The 17,691-nt window shown below is 46.5% G+C and overlaps 2 protein-coding genes across 24 annotated transcripts in view, besides 12 other annotated features; one reads left to right on the forward strand and one right to left on the reverse strand.

Annotated features, from left to right (window-relative positions):
* Window positions 1-5,654, reverse strand: part of ATP6V1E1 (ATPase H+ transporting V1 subunit E1) — a 36,687-nt gene extending 31,033 nt beyond the window's left edge. For 2 of the 3 annotated variants that reach the window (NM_001039366.1, NM_001039367.1), the window contains exon 1: window positions 5,435-5,654. In NM_001039366.1, coding sequence (NP_001034455.1) covers window positions 5,435-5,467 — 33 coding nt within the window. In that variant the 5' untranslated portion in view covers window positions 5,468-5,654. The remainder of the gene's footprint in view (window positions 1-5,434) is intronic. The other variant, NM_001696.4, reaches the window with a different exon arrangement.
* Window positions 5,276-5,425: an enhancer, noted in NCBI's record as "active region_18622". NCBI's record gives its function as "activates an Ori minimal core promoter by ATAC-STARR-seq in GM12878 lymphoblastoid cells {active_cell/tissue: GM12878}" and the evidence as "EXISTENCE:reporter gene assay evidence [ECO:0000049][PMID:35858748]".
* Window positions 5,506-5,595: an enhancer, noted in NCBI's record as "active region_18623". NCBI's record gives its function as "activates an Ori minimal core promoter by ATAC-STARR-seq in GM12878 lymphoblastoid cells {active_cell/tissue: GM12878}" and the evidence as "EXISTENCE:reporter gene assay evidence [ECO:0000049][PMID:35858748]".
* Window positions 5,506-5,706: a biological region, named in NCBI's record as "ATAC-STARR-seq lymphoblastoid active region 18623".
* Window positions 5,537-5,706: an enhancer, noted in NCBI's record as "experimental_62453 CRE fragment used in MPRA reporter constructs". NCBI's record gives its function as "activates a minimal promoter by MPRAs in K562 erythroleukemia cells, with activity observed for both the introgressed and non-introgressed 22:18111556 variant alleles {active_cell/tissue: K562}" and the evidence as "EXISTENCE:reporter gene assay evidence [ECO:0000049][PMID:34662402]".
* The window catches only part of BCL2L13 (BCL2 like 13), a 101,979-nt gene continuing 89,996 nt past the window's right edge, over window positions 5,709-17,691 (forward strand). For 8 of the 21 annotated variants that reach the window (NM_015367.4, NM_001270731.2, NM_001270734.2 and 5 more), the window contains exon 1: window positions 15,589-15,718. Coding sequence is in view for 6 of the 21 variants with exons in the window: in XM_047441286.1 (XP_047297242.1) it covers window positions 15,526-15,718 (193 nt within the window). In the remaining 15 variants the exon portion in view is untranslated. Of the gene's footprint in view, window positions 5,838-14,933; window positions 15,719-17,691 lie in introns of those variants that run through there. The other 13 variants (XM_047441287.1, XM_047441291.1, XM_047441293.1 and 10 more) reach the window with 6 other exon arrangements.
* Window positions 11,606-11,837: a silencer, noted in NCBI's record as "fragment chr22:18117540-18117771 (GRCh37/hg19 assembly coordinates)". NCBI's record gives its function as "represses an EF-1alpha promoter that drives an FKBP-Casp9 reporter gene in an ReSE screen in K562 erythroleukemia cells {active_cell/tissue: K562}" and the evidence as "EXISTENCE:reporter gene assay evidence [ECO:0000049][PMID:32094911]".
* Window positions 13,854-14,726: an enhancer, noted in NCBI's record as "H3K27ac hESC enhancer chr22:18119788-18120660 (GRCh37/hg19 assembly coordinates)". NCBI's record gives its function as "activates a minimal SCP1, AML or CMV promoter by ChIP-STARR-seq in naive H9 embryonic stem cells {active_cell/tissue: H9 hESC(naive)}" and the evidence as "EXISTENCE:reporter gene assay evidence [ECO:0000049][PMID:30033119]".
* Window positions 14,727-15,598: an enhancer, noted in NCBI's record as "NANOG-H3K27ac-H3K4me1 hESC enhancer chr22:18120661-18121532 (GRCh37/hg19 assembly coordinates)". NCBI's record gives its function as "activates a minimal SCP1, AML or CMV promoter by ChIP-STARR-seq in primed H9 embryonic stem cells {active_cell/tissue: H9 hESC(primed)}" and the evidence as "EXISTENCE:reporter gene assay evidence [ECO:0000049][PMID:30033119]".
* Window positions 15,151-15,200: an enhancer, noted in NCBI's record as "active region_18624". NCBI's record gives its function as "activates an Ori minimal core promoter by ATAC-STARR-seq in GM12878 lymphoblastoid cells {active_cell/tissue: GM12878}" and the evidence as "EXISTENCE:reporter gene assay evidence [ECO:0000049][PMID:35858748]".
* Window positions 15,251-15,430: an enhancer, noted in NCBI's record as "active region_18625". NCBI's record gives its function as "activates an Ori minimal core promoter by ATAC-STARR-seq in GM12878 lymphoblastoid cells {active_cell/tissue: GM12878}" and the evidence as "EXISTENCE:reporter gene assay evidence [ECO:0000049][PMID:35858748]".
* Window positions 15,551-15,830: an enhancer, noted in NCBI's record as "active region_18626". NCBI's record gives its function as "activates an Ori minimal core promoter by ATAC-STARR-seq in GM12878 lymphoblastoid cells {active_cell/tissue: GM12878}" and the evidence as "EXISTENCE:reporter gene assay evidence [ECO:0000049][PMID:35858748]".
* Window positions 15,551-16,471: a biological region, named in NCBI's record as "NANOG-H3K27ac-H3K4me1 hESC enhancer GRCh37_chr22:18121533-18122405".
* Window positions 15,599-16,471: an enhancer, noted in NCBI's record as "NANOG-H3K27ac-H3K4me1 hESC enhancer chr22:18121533-18122405 (GRCh37/hg19 assembly coordinates)". NCBI's record gives its function as "activates a minimal SCP1, AML or CMV promoter by ChIP-STARR-seq in primed H9 embryonic stem cells {active_cell/tissue: H9 hESC(primed)}" and the evidence as "EXISTENCE:reporter gene assay evidence [ECO:0000049][PMID:30033119]".

A 17,691-nucleotide genomic window follows, 5' to 3' on the forward strand; every position in this document is an offset into this window, starting at 1 on the left:
TATGATGATCAAACCTATGTTATAGATAACATGGTACTTACAATATCTTGAGCCTTGAAATACTTGGGGTACCTAATCCAGACCTAGATGTGTGGGAAATCACTGACCTTGCTTAAAAGATCAGCTCCACAAATTTGGGAGTATGGAGAGGGGTCATGGTAATGGTGTCTACAAGTTTAGTTTGAAGTCTCACTGAACTTATTCTATCTGGAATTTTAAGTCATTTAACTAGCCGGGCTCACGCCTGTAATCCCAGCACTTTGGGAGGCCAATCCGGGTGGATCACGAGGTCAGGAGTTCAAGACCAGCCTGACCAACATGGTGAAACCTGGTCTCTACTAAAAATACAAAAATTAGCCAGGCGTGGTGGCGGGTGCCTGCAATCCTAGCTACTCAGGAGGCTGATGGAGGAGAATCACTTGAACCTGGGAGGTGGAGGTTGCAGCAAGCCAAGATCACGCCTGGGTGACAGAGCAAGACTCTGTCTCAAAAAAAAAAAAAAAGTCATTTAACTAAATACAGTAATCAAAACCGGTGTTTATAAATGCTACAAGTTTGGCCTCTAAAGGTGAACCCTGATTCGGACCTGGATTATCTGCCTTTAGCACTCTGCTGCACCCTTGGCTACCAGATTTGACCAGACCAGCACAGCCTAGAGCAAACTGCGCTAATTCTAACCCAGGTCAGAAGCCTATTTACAGTTAACATGATCATATTCTTTTAAGAGTTCCAAGAAGAGATATAGTCAACCCTTTAAGGACATTTAACTCCACCCCTAAGGCAGAAAATTTGACCTTTAAAAAAACAGTTTCTTCTTCCTGCTCAGTAATTAAGGTTTTTAGAGTCAGGTTTCTTTGTAAATTTGATGAAATAAATTACCATACTCCCCAGGAAAAAAGCAAATATACACAAATATTTTCATGCAATGGAGAAGTCAGAAAATTCAGGATTTATTAAGCATCTACTATGGGCTTGGTGCTTCATCTATTTACTTATGAGAATACAGTAAACAACACACACTGTCCTCATCGAGCTTTCATGTAGCATGAAGGATTATAGGAAATAGACAAGATTCCTTCTTTCAATTTTACATAAATAAAAAATAGGCCGGGTGCAGTGGCTGACACCTGTAATCCCAATACTTTGGGAGGCTGAGGCGGGCAGATCACGAGGTCAGGAGTTCGAGACCAGCCTGGCCAACATGGTGAAACCCCATCTCTACTAAAAATACAAAAATTAGCTGGGTGTGGTGGCGGGCACCAGTAATCCCAGGTACTCAGGAGGCTGATGCAGGAGGATCGCTTGAACCCGGGAGGCAGAGGCTGCAGTGAGCTGAGATCACGCCATGGCACTCCAGCCTGGGCAAGAGAGCGAGACTGTCTCAAAAAAAAGAAAAAATAACTCATGCGCAGTGGCTCACGCCTATAATCCCACCACTTCGGAGGTTCAAGACCAGCCTGGCCAACGTGGCGAATTCCCATGTGTACTAAAAATACAAAAAAATTATCCGGGTGTGGTGACATACGCCTGTAGTCCCAGCTACTGGAGAGGCTGAGACAGGAGAATCGCTTGAACCCAGGAGGCAGAGGTTGCAGCAAGCTGAGATCGCGCCACTGCACTCCAGCCTAGGCGACAAAGCAAGACTCCATCTCAAAAAAAAAAAATCATTTTGATCTAGATTCCAAGGAACTATAGCTTTATCTTTATACTAGCTTTTCCTATGGAAGCCTTAGTCTTCAATATATTATGACAAGGAGGGAAGAAAGGGAACAAGAGGGAGAGAATTAGCACTGTGGCCACTAAGAGTATATGGAGGGCATTTTACTTTTCCACTGCATCAAGCTTTTCCTATATTGAAAGAAGCAGAAGAAGCAGTGAACAGAAGAAGCAGTGAAAAAGGTTTAAAAAAACCCTTTGGTTCTGTAAGAATATTGTATGATTTCTTAAACTTCTCCATAGATACTAATTTTGTCATCTCTATTTACCCTTTGGCATTAGCAGAACCACAAAATGAAGAAGAAATACCCACTCGTCTTAGTGCATATTAGGTTAAGAATAAAATGAAAAGACACTTTCAAGGAAATGGAAACATCCAACGAAAAACTTTTTTTTTTGAGACCGAGTTTCACTCTTGTTGCCCAGGCTGGAGTACAATGGCATGATCTCGGCTTGCTGCAACCTCTGGGTTCAAGCGATTCTCCTGTCTCAGGCTCCCAAGTTGCTGAGATTACAGGCATGCACCACCTCGCCCGGCTAATTTTGAATTTTAGTAGAGACAGGGTTTCTCCATGTTGGTCAGGCTGGTCTCAAACTCCCAACCTCAGGTGATCTCAAACTCCCAACCTCAGGTGATCTGCCCGCCTCGGCCTCCCAAAGTGCTGGGATTACAGGCGTGAGCCGGCCAGGAAAAAATTTTATTGCTCATCTCAGAAGATTCATAAGACAGTGAGTGTGCTTTAGTAAGAGAATTTTCCTAGCACAGTACTTCAGAAAAAAAAGGACTTAGTTCTCTAAACTATGTGCAAATTAAAACTGCAGCCTTAAACTTCCTTCTCTGAAAAATCTATCGGCAATATGATTACTAAATGCAAGGATTCTGATTTGTTAGTTATAGGCTTATAAACTGCTACTATATTCCCCTGAGAGTCTTTTGCATGACAAAATTCTTAATACCTACAGACTTGAAGGTATGGCACTTAAAAAAAAAAAAAAAGTTTCCCAGGACTGATTACACTTTGAAAACTGATGTGGGTTCACGACTTCCACAACAATTTTTTCCCATAAACTCTGATACATCTACTTGGTGCCAAACACCGTTAGGCATTGAGGCTCCTAAATGTAAGCAAAAGGGGTCCTGGCCAGGCGCGGTAGCTCATGCCTGTAATCCCAGCACTTTGGGAGGCCGAGGTGGGCAGATTACGAGGTCAGGAGATCAAGACCATCCTGGCTAATACAGTGAAACCCCATCTCTAATAAAAAATAGAAAAAATTAGCCAGGCGTGGTGGCGGGCGCCTGTAAGTCCCAGCTTCTCGGGAGGCTGGGGCAGGAGAATGGCATGAACCCAGGAGGTGGAGCTTGCAGTGAGCGGAGACCATGCCACTGCACTCCAGCCTGGGCAACAGAGCGAGACTTCGTCTCAAAAAAAAAAAAAAAAAAAAAGAAAGAAAAGAAAAAGCGGTCTTCCATTTGACACAATTTTGTTTATTTATTTAATATTTTTAGAGACAGGGTCTTTTGCTCTCTCACCCAGGATGGAGCACAGTGGCATGATCATAGCTCACTGCAGCCTCGACCCCTTGGGCTCAAATGATTCTCCCACATCAGCCTCCCTAAGTAGCTAGGAGCACATGTGTGCCCCACCACACCTGGCAATTTTTTTTTTTTTTTGAGACAGTCTCGCTCTGTTGCCCAGGCAGCAATGGTGTGATCTCGCCTCACCATAACCTCCACCTCCCGGGTTCAAGAAATTCTCCTGCCTCAGCCTCCTAGTAGTTGGGATTACAGGCATATGCCAGCACGCCCCACTAATTTTGTATTTTTAGTAGAGACAGGGTTTTGCCACGTTGGCCAGGCTGGTCTGGAACTCCTGACCGCAGGTGATATGCCCACCTCGGCCTTCCAAAGTGCTGGGATTACAGGCATGAGCAACCATGCCCAGACAGCCTGGCTTATTTTTTAAGAAAAAATTTTTTAGAGATAAGGTCTATGTTGCCCAGGCTGGTCTTGAACTCCTGGGATCAAGCGATCCTCCCACCTCAGCCTCCCAAAGTGCTGGGGGCTACAGGTGTGAGCCACCACACCTGGCGTGTATTTGTGTTTATTAATATTAAAATTTTTTGAGATGGAGTCTCACTCTGTCACCCAGGCTGGAGTGCAGTGGCACAATCTTGGCTCACTGCAACCTCCGCCTGCCGGGTTCAAGCGATTCTCCTGCCTCTGCCTCCTGAGTAGCTGGGACTACAGGCGCACCCCACTAGGCCCAGACAATCTTTTTTTTTTTATTTTTTTGAGAGGGAGTCTCGCTCTGCCGCCCAGGGTCGCTCGGCCTCCCGGGTTCACGCCATTCTCCTGCCTCAGCCTCCCGAGTAGCTGGGACTACAGGCGCCCGCCACCATGCCCGGCTAATTTTTTGTATTTTTAATAGAGATGGGGTTTCACCATGCTGGCCAGGCTCGTCTCGAACTCCTGACCTCAGGTGATCCGCCCTCCTCAGCCTCCCAAAGTGCTGGTATTACAGACGTGAGCCACCATGCCCGGCCCCAGCCTGTATCTCACAAATGTTAACACACACATTAGTGGGAGACCAATCATTACAATCCATTATGATAGAGGGGACTTCCCCAAAATGAAGATTAACAGTACATACAGGCCTGGCGCGTTGGCTCATGCCTGTAATCCCAGCACTTTGGGAGGCCCAGGTGGGAAGATCACCTGAGGTCAGGAGTTCAAGACCAGCCAGGCCAATATGGTGAGACCCTGCCTCTACTAAAAAAAATACAAAAATTAGCCGGGCTTGGGGCGCGAGTCTGTAATCCCAGCTTCTAGGGAGGCTGAGGCAGGAGAATCACTTGAACCCGGGGCGGAGGTTGCAGTGAGCCGAGATCGCGCCCTTGCACTCCAGCCTGGGCGACAGAGTGAGACTCCGTCTCAAAAAAAAAAAAAAGAAAAAAAGAAAAAAACACAGTTCATAAAGTGAACGACCTTGTCAAAACACTGGTTGGAAGCAGGTCTCTTCCCTCCGCACTGTTTCCTATCATATAGCCTTAAGCATTTCCCTCAGGGTTAAAAAAAAAAAAAGTGACAAGGCTGGTTTGTTTTTTTTTTTTCTTTTTCCAGAGGGAGTCTCGCCCTGTCGCCCATGCTGGAGTGCAAAGGCGCGATCTCGGCTAACTGCAACCTCCGCCTCCGGGTTCAGCTTCCCGAGTAGCTGGGATTACAGGCGCGCGCCACCACGTCCGGCTAATTTTCTATTTTTAGTAGAGACCGGGGTTTCACCATTTTGGCCAGGCTAGTCTCGGACTCCTGACCTCAGGTGATCCGGCCGCCTCGGCCTCCCAAAATACTGGGATTACAGGCGTGAGCCACTGCCCCTGGCCACAAGGCTGTTTTCAATCCTTGCACAGATCTCTGTCCGACTAGGCACAGTGAATACCCTTGGAAAACAGGGAATGCTGAGGTGGGAGGCAAAGAGCCAGGGCGTTCAAGAAGGCAGCGCGCAGGCAAGCGGGCAGTGCCCAAGACCCGAGCAAAAGTCACATGAGCTGCGGGGCAAATCTCCGTCCTCAGGCCGACCTCTTGGATCTGGTGACTTGGAGCAAGGGACCTTCCTGCGGCATCTGGGCGGCTCAAGGCCCGCGGCCTTCCCTAGGCGGGCTCCAGCCCACTCCCCGGGACTGCCGCCGCGGCTTCGTAAGACCCAACCAAGCCCCTCACCTGCTTTTGCACGTCAGCATCGCTGAGAGCCATGGCGAGAGCAATGCTAGGCCGGTGAACAGTAGGCTCGAGTTTAGGTTTGAAAGGTGAGGTGAGAGAAATCGGCAAAGGGAACCCCTGCGCAGATCTCGGGTTCCTTTACTTTATAACCGCGGGTTCCGGTTCCTGCCAGGTGACTGCACAGTTCATCCTCATGACCCTTCTCAGCCAATGGGAAGAGAGCGACGCCCAGGAAGTCCCGCCCTGTCCCGGCCTGTGGGCGCGTCCTCGGGTCCTTCTACGTCGCTGACTCGTGACCTGACCGGTATTTTTTTCCTAAACTGGGATCTTGGGTAGGAGGAAGAAAAGATAAGGAGTTCCTCTATCTGAAATTAGTCGGGCTGTTTTGAGGAGTACTGGTTAGGTATATTGGAGAATGTGCCTTTATTGGAATTTTTCGCATAATTACACAGGGTTATGGGCTTAGGGGTACATGATTGTTGGCCGGGCGTGGTGGCTCACGCCTGCAATCCGGAGACTTTGGGAGACCAAGGCGGGTGTATCGCTTGACCTCAAGTTCGAGACCAGGCTGGACAACATAGAGGAACCCCGTCTCTACCAAAAGAAAAAAAAAAGGGGGATACATGATTTCTGACTATTCATGTCAACCTTGATTACCTGAATAAAGTGTAGGGTTTGTAGGTTTCTCCACTCTGAAGTTACCTTTTTTAACCCCCTTTCCATACTGTAGTCTTAGGAAGGAAGCCACTATACAAAGCCCACACCTAGGGAGTGGGAAGCTATGCTCAACTTCCTTATTAGGGTGGAGCAGCTACATAATTTATTTGGAACTTTTCTGAGATAGCCTATATATTTTTCAAAAGCCTTCCCAGGTCCCATTTAGAGGAATATTAGGACAGAAATCCCCCCAGGCTCATTTGTTTTTATTTGGATTTACCTCAAGCCCGTTTTTTTCCCCAAAATCCCAAAGGCAAAAACTTTTGAAAATTCCTTTATCTTTAGGATAGACTGACTCCTAATAGTAGAATAAGAGGTCAAATGGTACACCCACTTTTTTCTTTTTACTGTGCTATGGTTACCCACCATTTTTATTAGCTTTTTATCTTGAAGAAATTTGAGATATAGTAACTTGTAAGAATACTGCATTGACCTCCCTTCACCTAGATTCAACAATTGTTAACATTTTGCTACATGTACATTAACACTTTATTTTCATACACACACACACACACACACACACACACACTTCCTATTTTAGTGTGTCATAAGAACGAGGATGTAGCAAATTCAGGAAATTTAGTTTACTAGGCTGAACATTAATTTCCTTTGTCCCGGGCCAGGCGCGGTGTCTCACGCCTGTAATCCCACCACTTTGGGAGGCTGAGGTGGGCAGATCACCTGAGGTCGGGATTTCGAGACCAGCCTGACCAACATGGAGAAACCCCAGTCTCTACTAAAAATACAAAATTAACAGGCGTGGTGGTGTGTGCCTGTAATCCCAGCCACTGGAGAGGCTGAGGCAGGAGAATTGCTTCAACCCAGGAGCAGAGGTTGCGGTGAGCCAAGATCGTGCCACTGCACTCCAGCCTGGGCAATAAGAGTGAGACTCCGTCTCAAAAAAACAAAAAAAAAAAAAACAAATTCCTTTGTCCCATCAATCCATCAATGTACTTTATAACCCTTTCTTTTTTTTTTGAGACAGAGTCTCACTCTGTCGCCCAGGCTGCAGTGCAACGGCATGGTGTCAGCTCACTACAACCTCTGCCTCCCGGGATCAAGTGATTCTCCTCCCTCAGCCTCCCAAGCAGCTGGGATTACAGGTGCCTGCCACCATGCATGGCTAATTTTTGTATTTTTAGTAGAGATGAGGTTTCACTGTGTTGGCCAGGCTGGTCTTGAACTGCTGACCTCGTGATCCACCTGCCTCGGCCTCCGAGAGTGCTGGGATTACAGGTGTGAGCCACTGCACCCGGCCTTCTTTTTCTTTTCTTTTTTTTTTTTTTTTTGAGATGGAGTCTCGCTCTGTTGCCCAGGCTAGAGTGCAGTGGCAGAATCTCGGCTCACCACAACCTCCGCCTCCCGGGTTCAATTGATTCTCCTGCCTCAGCCTCCCCAGTAGCTGAGATTACAGGCATCTGCCACCACGCCCAGCTAATTTTTGCATTTTTAGTAGAGATGGGGTTTCAACACATTGGCCAGGGTGGTCTTGAACTCCCGACCTCAGGTGATCTGCCTGCCTCCACCTCCCAAAGTGCTGGGATTACAGACGTGAGCCACCGCGCCCAGCCATAACCTTTTTTTAATAACCTTACTTTTTAACCTTTTATAACCTTCTTATAACCTTACTTTATAACCTTTATAACCTGGATTGGATCCAGGGTCACTTACTGCATTAGTGATCATGTCTTTTTAGTCTCCTTTAATATGGAAGAGTTTCCTCAGACTTATCTTTCTTGATAGTGACATTTTGAAGAATATAGGCCAGTTGTAGAAAATCACTCAATTTTTTTTTTTTTTGAGACAGAAGAGTGTCGCTCATGCTGGAGTGCAGTGGTGCAAACTCGGCTCACTGCAACCTCCACCTCCTGGGTTCAAGAGATTTTCCTGCCTCAGCCTCTCCAGTAGCTGGGATTACAAGCGCCCGCCACCACGCCCCGCTAATTTTTTCTTTTTGGTAGAAACAGGGTTTTGCCACATTGGCCAGGCTGTTCTTGGAACTCCTGAGCTCAGATGATCTGCCTGCCTTGGCATCCCAAAGTGCTGGGATGACAGGTGTGAGCCACCACGCCCAGCCTCAATTGGGTTTTGACAGTTTCCTCATAATTAGATTCAGGTTACGCATTATAGCAGGAGTACTACATGTGTGATATTGTGTCCTCTTTGCAACACATCAGAAAGTACATGATGTCCGTTTGTCCCTTTTTTTCAATTTTATTTTTAAAATTGAGACAGAGTCCTACAGTGTTTGTCAGGCTAGTCTCGAACTCCTGGGCTCAGGGGATCCTCCCACCTCAGCTCTTTGTCCTTTTAGTAGGAATGGTACGTGTGTGTATGTATGTGTGTGTGTGTATATATATATATATATATATATATATATATATATATTTTTTTTTTTTTTTTTTTTTTTTTTTTTTTTGAGATGGAGTTTCGCTATTGTTGCCCAGGCTGGAGTGCAGTGGCGCAGTCTCAGCTCACTGCAACTTCCACCTCCCGGGTTCAAGTGATTCTTCTGCCTCAGCCTCCTGTGTAGCTGGGACTATAGGCGCGTGCCACCACACTCAGCTAATTTTTGTATTTTTAGTAGAGATGGGGTTTCACCATATTGGCCAGGCTGATCTCGAACTCCTGACCTCGTGATCTGCCCGCCTTGGCATCCCAAAGTCTTGGGATTACAGGCGTGAGCCACGGCGCCTGGCCGGTACACATATTTTGAAGGCTGTTAATACATGCTGCCATTTTTTCCCCATTTGTACTAGTGTACAATGTTCCTTGTACTGTATGACAGATTGGTATACATATTTGGTATACATATTTGAGAATACTGATAATGCTGGATAAAGGAAAGATTTACCCACAGGACAATAAACGTTGCCATTTATTAATATATTTATTAATACATGCTGCCATTTTTTCCATTTGTACTAGTGCACAGTGTTCCTTGTAGGACAGATTGGTGTACATATTGGTATATATATTTGAGAGTACTGATAATGCTGGATAAAGGAAGGATTTAGTCACAGAACAATAACACAGGGCAAGAGAAACTGATGCAATTGACCTTAACTTGATCACTATTGAGCTAAACTAGATTGGATTATTTGTCTAATTTTGTTCATCTTTTGCATTAATAGCCTCATTCTTCATTGTCCTAAAAAACAGATTGCAGGAGTATGGAATATGCTAGAGGACTATTCTACCCTCTAGCATCCCTAGGTCAGGTTGAGGTGGAATTAACACATTTTGATTACAATCTCTCCTGTATTTTTACAGTGTTCTGCAAATGACAGGATTTGGGGAGTAGAAACAGCAGTCTAATTCTACATGTCAAATTGTTTCTGAAATTAATATCTGGAATGGATGTAGCACTGTCTAGATCAACCGTGCTTTTGTTTTTTGGAAAACAGTGTGATAATCTTTATGATTCTTCTTCTTTTTTTTTTTTTTTTTTGGAGATGGGAGTCTTGCTCTGTCACCAGGCTGGAGTGCAGTGGTGCAATCTTGGCTCACTGCAACCTCTGCCTCCCGGGTTCAAGCAATTCTCCTGCCTCAGCCTCCCGAGTAGCTGAGACTACAGGCATGTGCCACCATGCCCAGCTAATTTTTGTATTTTTAGTAGAGACAAGGTTTCACCATGTTGGCCAGGTTGGTCTCGAACTCCTGGCCTCAGGTGATCCACCCGCCTCAGCCTCCCAGAGTGCTAGGATTACAGGCATGAGCCACTGCGCCTGACCACGATTTACTTATTTTTATTTTGAGACATTAGAAAATACAAAAAAGTACAAAGAATAATTTATTCCCATACCATGCACCACTACCCAAAATTAACAATTAACATTTGTCACATTTACTTCAAGACTTCACTTGAAAAACAAATCGTAGGTATAGTTACTATCCCCTTTTGCAGCACCCACTTCTCCCCCATGTTAGTTTCTCTTTAAAACTCAATTTTCTTCAGTTTTGCTGATTCACCAAGGAACAGGCCAGGTCCTGTCTGAAAAGAATGTAAGCTTTACAGAGATAACCTCTGAAGGGAAAAAGTTGTTATGAATACATGCAAAGATGAGCCAGTTGGTAGTTTTCCAAATGTAATTTTCTCCTACATTCTTAGGCCTTGTGGAGACACTTTAAAACATATTTTCAGACAAGTTTCAAAAAACTCCCTCCTAGATAAGCCTATTTGTGGCTTCACCAAAGTCACTGGCCTAGATTCCTGTCAGGTTAGTCAGAAAGGGACGGTTCATGTGCTCTCACCTACTCCCAGGCAGGTTTACTAGATACTGAATCAGCAGGATAAATAAGCTAACTCTGGAGTTTGCTCAGGAGGACAAAGCGCGAAAGACTAGAAGTAAATGTAAATCATCTGTCTTTAAATGTTGAGCAAATAATTTGAAAAGGAAAAAACAAAGTGTAGCCAAAAAATAGTAACTCTAACTTAGGTGTCTGCACTTTTTGCCTCTTTCCAGCCAAATTTCTATGCTACAGTGATTTAAAACCTAGATGGCAGATGGCATCAAGTCACTCCCCAATTTACAACTCTGTCATGGCTTCTGCTTGCTCCTGAAGCCTTCCGCTGGCTCTAGTAGATGAGACCACTGGATCTGGCCCTGTATGCTTGCCTGCCCTCATTACCCCTCCTCCCTTTGCACACCACCTCAAAGCTTTACTGGTTGCCTTTCAGTTTTTTTGAAAACATCTATTTTTCTGCTTGAGAAGTTATTTTCCTCCACTTACCACTTAACTTGTTTTTCATCCTTTAGGTCTCAAAATCTCTTTGAGGAGAGCTTATCCTGGTCACTCTCTCACCTTCTTCTCTATTCCAGTCCCTTGTCTGTTTCAGGACATGCCACCACCTTTTTTTTGTTTGTCTTGTTTTGTTTTTTTGAGACGGAGTCTCACTCTGTTGCCCAGGCTGGAGTGCAGTGGAGTGATCTCGGCTCAACACAACCTCCACCTCCCAGGTTCAAGCCATTCACCTGCCTCAGTCTCCCGAGTAGCTGGGACCACAGGCATGAGCCACCATGCCCGGCTAATTTTTTGTATTTTTAGTAGAGACGAGGTTTCACTATGTTAGCCAGGCTGGTCTGGAACTTCTGACCTTATGATCCACCTGCCTCAGGCTCCCAAAGTGTTGGGACTACAGGCGTGAGCCATCGCACCCAGCCCATGCCATCATCTTAAATTATTTTTACTTTTTTCTGTTTCAATGTTTTTCTTTTCTGGTTTTCCAACTAAGATGTTAGCTTCACAAGAGGGACCGCGTCTGATGTACTCATCATTGCTTTTGCTAGCACCCAGCACCCTGCCTGGTTAATGGCAGGGATTCAATAAACAATTGATTGGCCAGGCGTGGTGGCTGGCACCTGTAATCCTAGCACTTTGGGAGGCTGAGGCAGGCGGATCACTTGAGCCCAGGAGTTTGAGACCAGCCTGGGCAACATAGTGGGACACCTGCCTCTACAAAAAAAAATTAAATAAATTAGCCAGGCTTTCTGGTGCATGCCTGTAGTCCTTGCTACTTGGGAGGATGAGGCCAGAGGATTGCTTGAGCCTGGGAAGTCAAGGCTAGAGTAAGTCATGATCACATCACTGTACTCTAGCCTGGGTAACAGAGTGGAAGTGGAGACTCTGTCTCAAAAGGAAAAAAAAAAAAAAAGCAACAAACAACTGATGAATGCAAATGAATAAAATGAGTAGAGTCTAGTTTAGAGTCGATAACCACATTAGCCTGTAGGCTAGAGATCTGTAGCGCCTATTAAAATCTGTCCAAAACTCCCCCGAAAACTGACCAGGTGCAGTGGCTCATGCCTATAATCCCAGCACTTCAGGAGGCCAAGGCAGGTGGATCACTTGAGGCCACAAGTTCAAGACCAGCCTGGACAACACAGCAAGACGCTATCTCTACAAAAAAAAAACTAAAAAATTAAATAAAAAAGGGCCGGGTGTGGTAGCTCACACCTGTAATCCCAGCACTTTGGGAGACTCAGGCGGGCGGATCACAAGGTCAGGAGTTTGAGACCAGCCTAGCCAACATGGTGAAACCCCATCTCTACTAAAACAAAAGCAAATTAAATAAAAAAACTCCAAATACCATAAACTGCTGTGATTAAAGTCAAATGATTTCTATAAAAGGGCTATATTATTTTATGCAATTTGCTGAAAAGACAATCTCTTTCCTCATTGAAATGCCTTAGCACTTCTGTTGAAAATTAGTTAACAATTCTAGGTTTTCTGTTCTGTTCCATTGACCTGTATGTCTAGTCTCAAAATATATATTCAAAAAATAAAATTAAAAAGGGAAGGCCAGGAACTTTAGGAGGCCAAGATGGGAGAATTGCTTGAGGCTAGGAGTTTCTGAGCAGCCTGGGGAACATACCCATTTCCACAAAAACAATCTTTTTTTTTTTTTAGACAGAGTCTCACTCTGTCGCCCAGGCTGGAGTGCAGTGGTGCGATCTCGGCTCACTGCAACCTCCGCCTCCCGGGTTCAAGTGATTCTTCTGCCTCAGCCTCCCCAGTAGCTGGGACTGAAGGTGCGCGCCACCATGCCCAGCTAATTTTTTGTATTTTTAGTAGAGACGGGGTTTCACTGTGTTGGCCAGGATGGTCTCCATCTCCTGACCTCGTGATCCGTCCCCCTTGGCCTCCCAAAGTGCTGGGATTATAGGCGTGAACCACCACGCCCGGCCTACAAAAACATCTTTTAAAAAGTAGCCATGTGTGGCCTGGGGCGGTGGCTCACGCCTGTAATCCCACCACTTTGGGAGTCTGAGGTGGGTGGATCACTTGGGGTCAGGAGTTCGAGAGCAGCCTGGCCAACACACTGAAACCCCGTCTCTACTAAAAATACAAAATGTAGCCAGGCATAGTGGTGCACACCTGTAGTCCCAGCTACTTTGGAGGCTGAGGCAGGAGAATCACTTGAGCCCAGGAGGCTGAGGTTGCAGTGAGCCAAGATCTGCCACTGCACTCCAGCCCAGGCAACAGAGGGAGACTCCGTCTCAAAAAAAAGAAAAAAAAAAAAAAAAGCTACATGTGGTGGCACAAGCCTGTGGTCCTTGATACTTGGGAGGCTGAGGTGGAACAATTGTGAGCCCAGGAGGTCCATGATGCAGTGAGGTATGATTGTACCACTGCACTCCAGGCTGGGTAACAGAAGCGACACCTTGTCTCTAAAAAAATAAATAAGACCAGGCATGGTGGCTCACGACTGTAATCCCAGCACTTTGGGAGGCCGAGAGGGGTGATCACCCAAGGCCAAGAGTTGGAGACCAGCCTGGCCAACATGGCGAAACCCTATCTCTACTAAGAATACAAAAAAAAAATATTAGCCAGGTGTGGTGGTGGGTGCCTGTAATCCCAGCTACTCAGGAGGCTGAAGCAGGAGAATCGCTTGAACCCAGGAGGTGAGGTTCAGTGAGCTGAGATCGCGCCATTGCACTACAGCCTGGGTGACAGAGCAAGACTCTGTCTCGAGAAAATAATAATAAAAAATAAATAAATAAATAAAGGAAAAGACTGAGAGCAATGTGAAAGAAATGAACTTAAGTATGTACCAAATTGGTAACATAAGTACCTCCCAAAATAAATTATTGCATGTTACATTTTTGAAAGTTTTTTTAGGTAAAGTGTACATACAGTGAACTGCACAGACCTTAAAAGTAAAATTAGGGCCGGGCGCGGTGGCGCACCCCTGTAATCCCAGCACTTTGGGAGGCTGAGGCAGGCGGATCTCTTGAGGTCAGGAGTAGGAGACTAGCCTGGCCAACATGGTGAGACCCCGTCTCTATTAAAAATTTTTAAAAAGCCAGGCACGGTGGCTCACGTCTGTAATCCCAGCACTTTGGGAGGCCAAGGCGAGTGGATCACCTGAAGTCAGGAGTTCAAGACCAGCCTAACCAACGTGGAGAAACTCTGCCTCTACTAAAAATACAAAAATTAGCTGGGCATGGTGGTGGGTGCCTGTAATCCCAGCTACTTGGGAGGCTGAGGCAGGAGAATCGCTTGAACCCGAAAGGCAGAGGTTGCAGTGAGCTGAGATCGCGCCCCTGCACTCCAGCCTGGGCGACAGAGTGAGACTCTGCCTCAAAAAAAAAAAAAAAAAGTCTTCATTTTTGGTTACCCATTTCACTGCAACCTTTGCCTCCCAGGCTCAAGCGATTCTCCTGCATCGGCCTCCCAAGTAGCTGGGATTACAGGCGCGTGACACCATACCTGGCTAATTTTTTGTGTTTTTAGTACAGATGGGGAGTTTCACCATGTTGGCCAGGCAGGTCTGAAACTCCTGACCTCAAGTGATCCGCCCACCTTGGCTTCTCAAAGTGCTGGGATTACAGGAGTGATCCACCACACCCGGCCTGTACTATTAGTTTTCCAAGGTCACTAAGCCTTTCCTTTGCAAAACTTTATGTCCCTATTAATGGCACCATCCTTTCCTCAGTCACTCGGGCTTAAAAAGCATCCTGTGGCACCAGCCCCACAATAGCAGTTCAACTCTTTTATCACTTCCTTTAGAATAGCCTTGTTGAGATATAGATCTCATAACATAGAATTCACCTATAGTGTACAATTCAGTAGTTTTCAGTATTTCAAAGAGTCGTGCCACCATCACCCCAAAAAGAAACTCTGTATCCACTGGCAGTCACTCCCCATCAGGATTTTATCACTTCTGATCTGGCTCAGTCTTCTAACTCCTTATTGTCAATGCCCTCCTTGTTCCAATTCAGTACACACACCACGGGCAATTTGATCTCCCTAAAACACACTGTATCCTCTCTCCTAGATACCTTCCGATACTCCTCCAAAGAACTCTCGGATTCAAGTAAACAAACATCCATTAATACAAGTTAAGTATGTTCCAGGCGCTGTGTGTTCCAGGTACTGTTAACAAAAGCGGGTTACTAGTTAAGACTTCCTTCATGCCCTGGCGCCTCTGCTCAGCCAGTTCCCTTCGCCTAGGAGGACCTCTCTACACCACCCCGCTATATTCCCTCCCCGGAATTCCTTCCCAACCTTCAAGGACCATCTGCCCCAACTAGTGGCGAACATCGAGGCTGTCGTGACTGTGTAGATACTTATTTGACCTGCTCCCTTGGCAAACACTTGAAACGCAATACATGTTTGTGGAACTGAACATAGCCTGTGCATGCAGCAAGGCTTCTTTCCCTGGAATCGCCTGCCCTTCCTCCAACACAGCGACCAGCCGGTCAGAATCCCAACCCCTCGACTCCGGAAATGATCTGAGAGACGGAACTTCCGAACGTCGCAATCAGATTTGGGCGGGCTAGGAGGGTTTGGGTCTTCAGGTCACATCTGGACGGAGAGACCTCCGGGGCCTCCGTTGGTCGGTCCTTCCGCTCCGGATACCGTTCCGGATGTCAGGTAGTTCAGGTCCCGCCCCGACGCCGGCCGTGACGAAGGCACGCCGGGGTGACCTCACCCTCCAACATGGCGGCGGCGGTAGATTAGGGCCGCGGGTCGGAGCACTCACCGCCGCTGGGGGACCCTGTCGGAAGCAACTGCCGCCGCCGCCTCTTTCATCTCTTCTGGGGCAGGGGCCAGGGCCAGGTGAGGGGAGTGGGGTTCCGGGAAGGCTGAGCTGGGTGAGGAGGTGGTTTTCACCTGGGTAGGAAAGTGCCCAGAGACCGTATCGAGCCACCGACTCCCCAGTGGTTCCGACGACGCGTGAGTTTGAGTGTGTGTGTCTACACCGGCGCTCCTTCGCCCGAAGGTGCTCGGAGCTTAGGGGTCCGCTTCACCGTGACCGGACCTGGCCGCGCGGCCCCGCCGCTGAGCAGGCTTCTTCCGGCGTGGGGTGCCGGAGGCGGAGGAGCTCGGCCCTGGCTCCACGCCGCTGTCCTTCCCCACAGACAGCTTCACGTGGAAAACCCGGGTCCATTTTTAGGGCTAAACTGGGGAACGGCGACTTCTTTTTGGTTGAGGGAAAGGTTTTCCTGCGATTCACTTAGAACACTGGAAGATTAGCTTTGCCAGTCTTAGTCGTTTCTTCTCAGAGATTGTTAGAAGTCTTGTTTCTTAACCTTAATTCACTGCTGTTCTGACACCTATTTTTTCAGAAAAAAACTGCCTTCTTGCCCTTGGAGGCAGTACAGTTCACACGGAGTCATTTTCCCCCTTTGATTTATCCTCCCAACATTCTGTAAAGATCCTATTTCTTGCCTTCATAACCGACTTTCTGAGTGGAGGCTCTAACCTAGCGTTGAAAATCGGACGGATCTGGCCAGTTGTTCACATGCTGTTGACTGCTGGCTTTGGTTAGCTCTTAGCCACTCCCTGCACAAGTGTTTGTTTATTCAAAATAGCTATCTCACTGTCTCTGTTTAGAAGTTTGAACTAAGCTGAGAGCCCTCCCTCCTTACTTTTATTTTTTTGTTGTTGTTGCGTAAAACAAAACAAAAACTTCTTTGGCGAAATTATAAGATTTCCTCTGGAGGTTTAGTATAAAGCAGAATGTTGCTCTCTGCCCTGACTAGTGTGACCTTGGATGAGTTGCCACACCCTTCAGATACCTTCTTTCTTTTTTTTTTTTTTTGAGACAGAGTTTCCCTCTTGTTGCCTAGGCTGGAGTGCAATGGCGCGATCTCAGCTTACCGCAACCTCCGCCTCCTGGGTTCAAGCCATTCTCCTGCCTCAGCCTCCCGAGTAGCTGGGATTACAGGCATGCGCCACCACGCGGGGCTAATTTTGTATTTTTAGTAGAGACGGGGTTTCATCATGTTGGTCAGGATGGTCTCGAACTCCCAATCTCTGGTCATCCCCCCGCCTCAGCCTCCCAAAGTGTTGGGATTACAGGCGTGAGCCACCGCGCACGGTGATACCTTTTTTTCAACCACCCCCGCGCCACCGCATGAAGTATTATTTTCATTTTTAACACCCTCTCTCCCCCAAGTGAAGTATTCTTCATTTGGTAATAGGCAGTTAAGGGTATTGAAAATCTTTTTACTAGGAATGGTCAGGTACTGTTCTGTATTTTTTTTCCAATGGCTCATTTTTTATGTGGAAGAGTATATTCAGTAGTTGGATTCACTTTTTATTTTATTTTTAGTTGTCTCCTACAGCAAGGACCAGTAGTTGAATTCAATTGAAAGATGCCTAAGGCTATATCTAACCAGTCTTGTAAAAAAACAGACTTGTGTTTACTAGCACATAATCTAATCAACATGTATTAAATATCACACACATTAAGCTTTTAGGACAAGTGGTTTGCAACAGTAATAATCATTAACAACATTTCATTTGGCTGTTTGCGATGGCTCACTGTAATCCCAGCACTTTGGGAGGCTCAGGCAGGAGCATTGCTTGAGCCCGGGAGTTCGAGACCAGCCTGGGCAACATAAGGAGACCTTGTCTTCACAAAAAATTAAAAAAAAAAAAAATTAGCCAGGCATAGGTCCCAGCTACTTGGAAGACTGAGGCGAGAGGGAGGACTGCTTGAGCCCGGGAGATCAAGGCTGCTGTGAGCTGTGATTGCTCCACTGTACTTCAGTCTGGATGACAGAGACCCTGACTCAAAAAATATA

The sequence above is a fragment of the Homo sapiens genome, chromosome 22 (assembly GCF_000001405.40).
Source record: "Homo sapiens chromosome 22, GRCh38.p14 Primary Assembly".
Classification (NCBI taxonomy): Eukaryota; Metazoa; Chordata; class Mammalia; order Primates; family Hominidae; genus Homo; species Homo sapiens.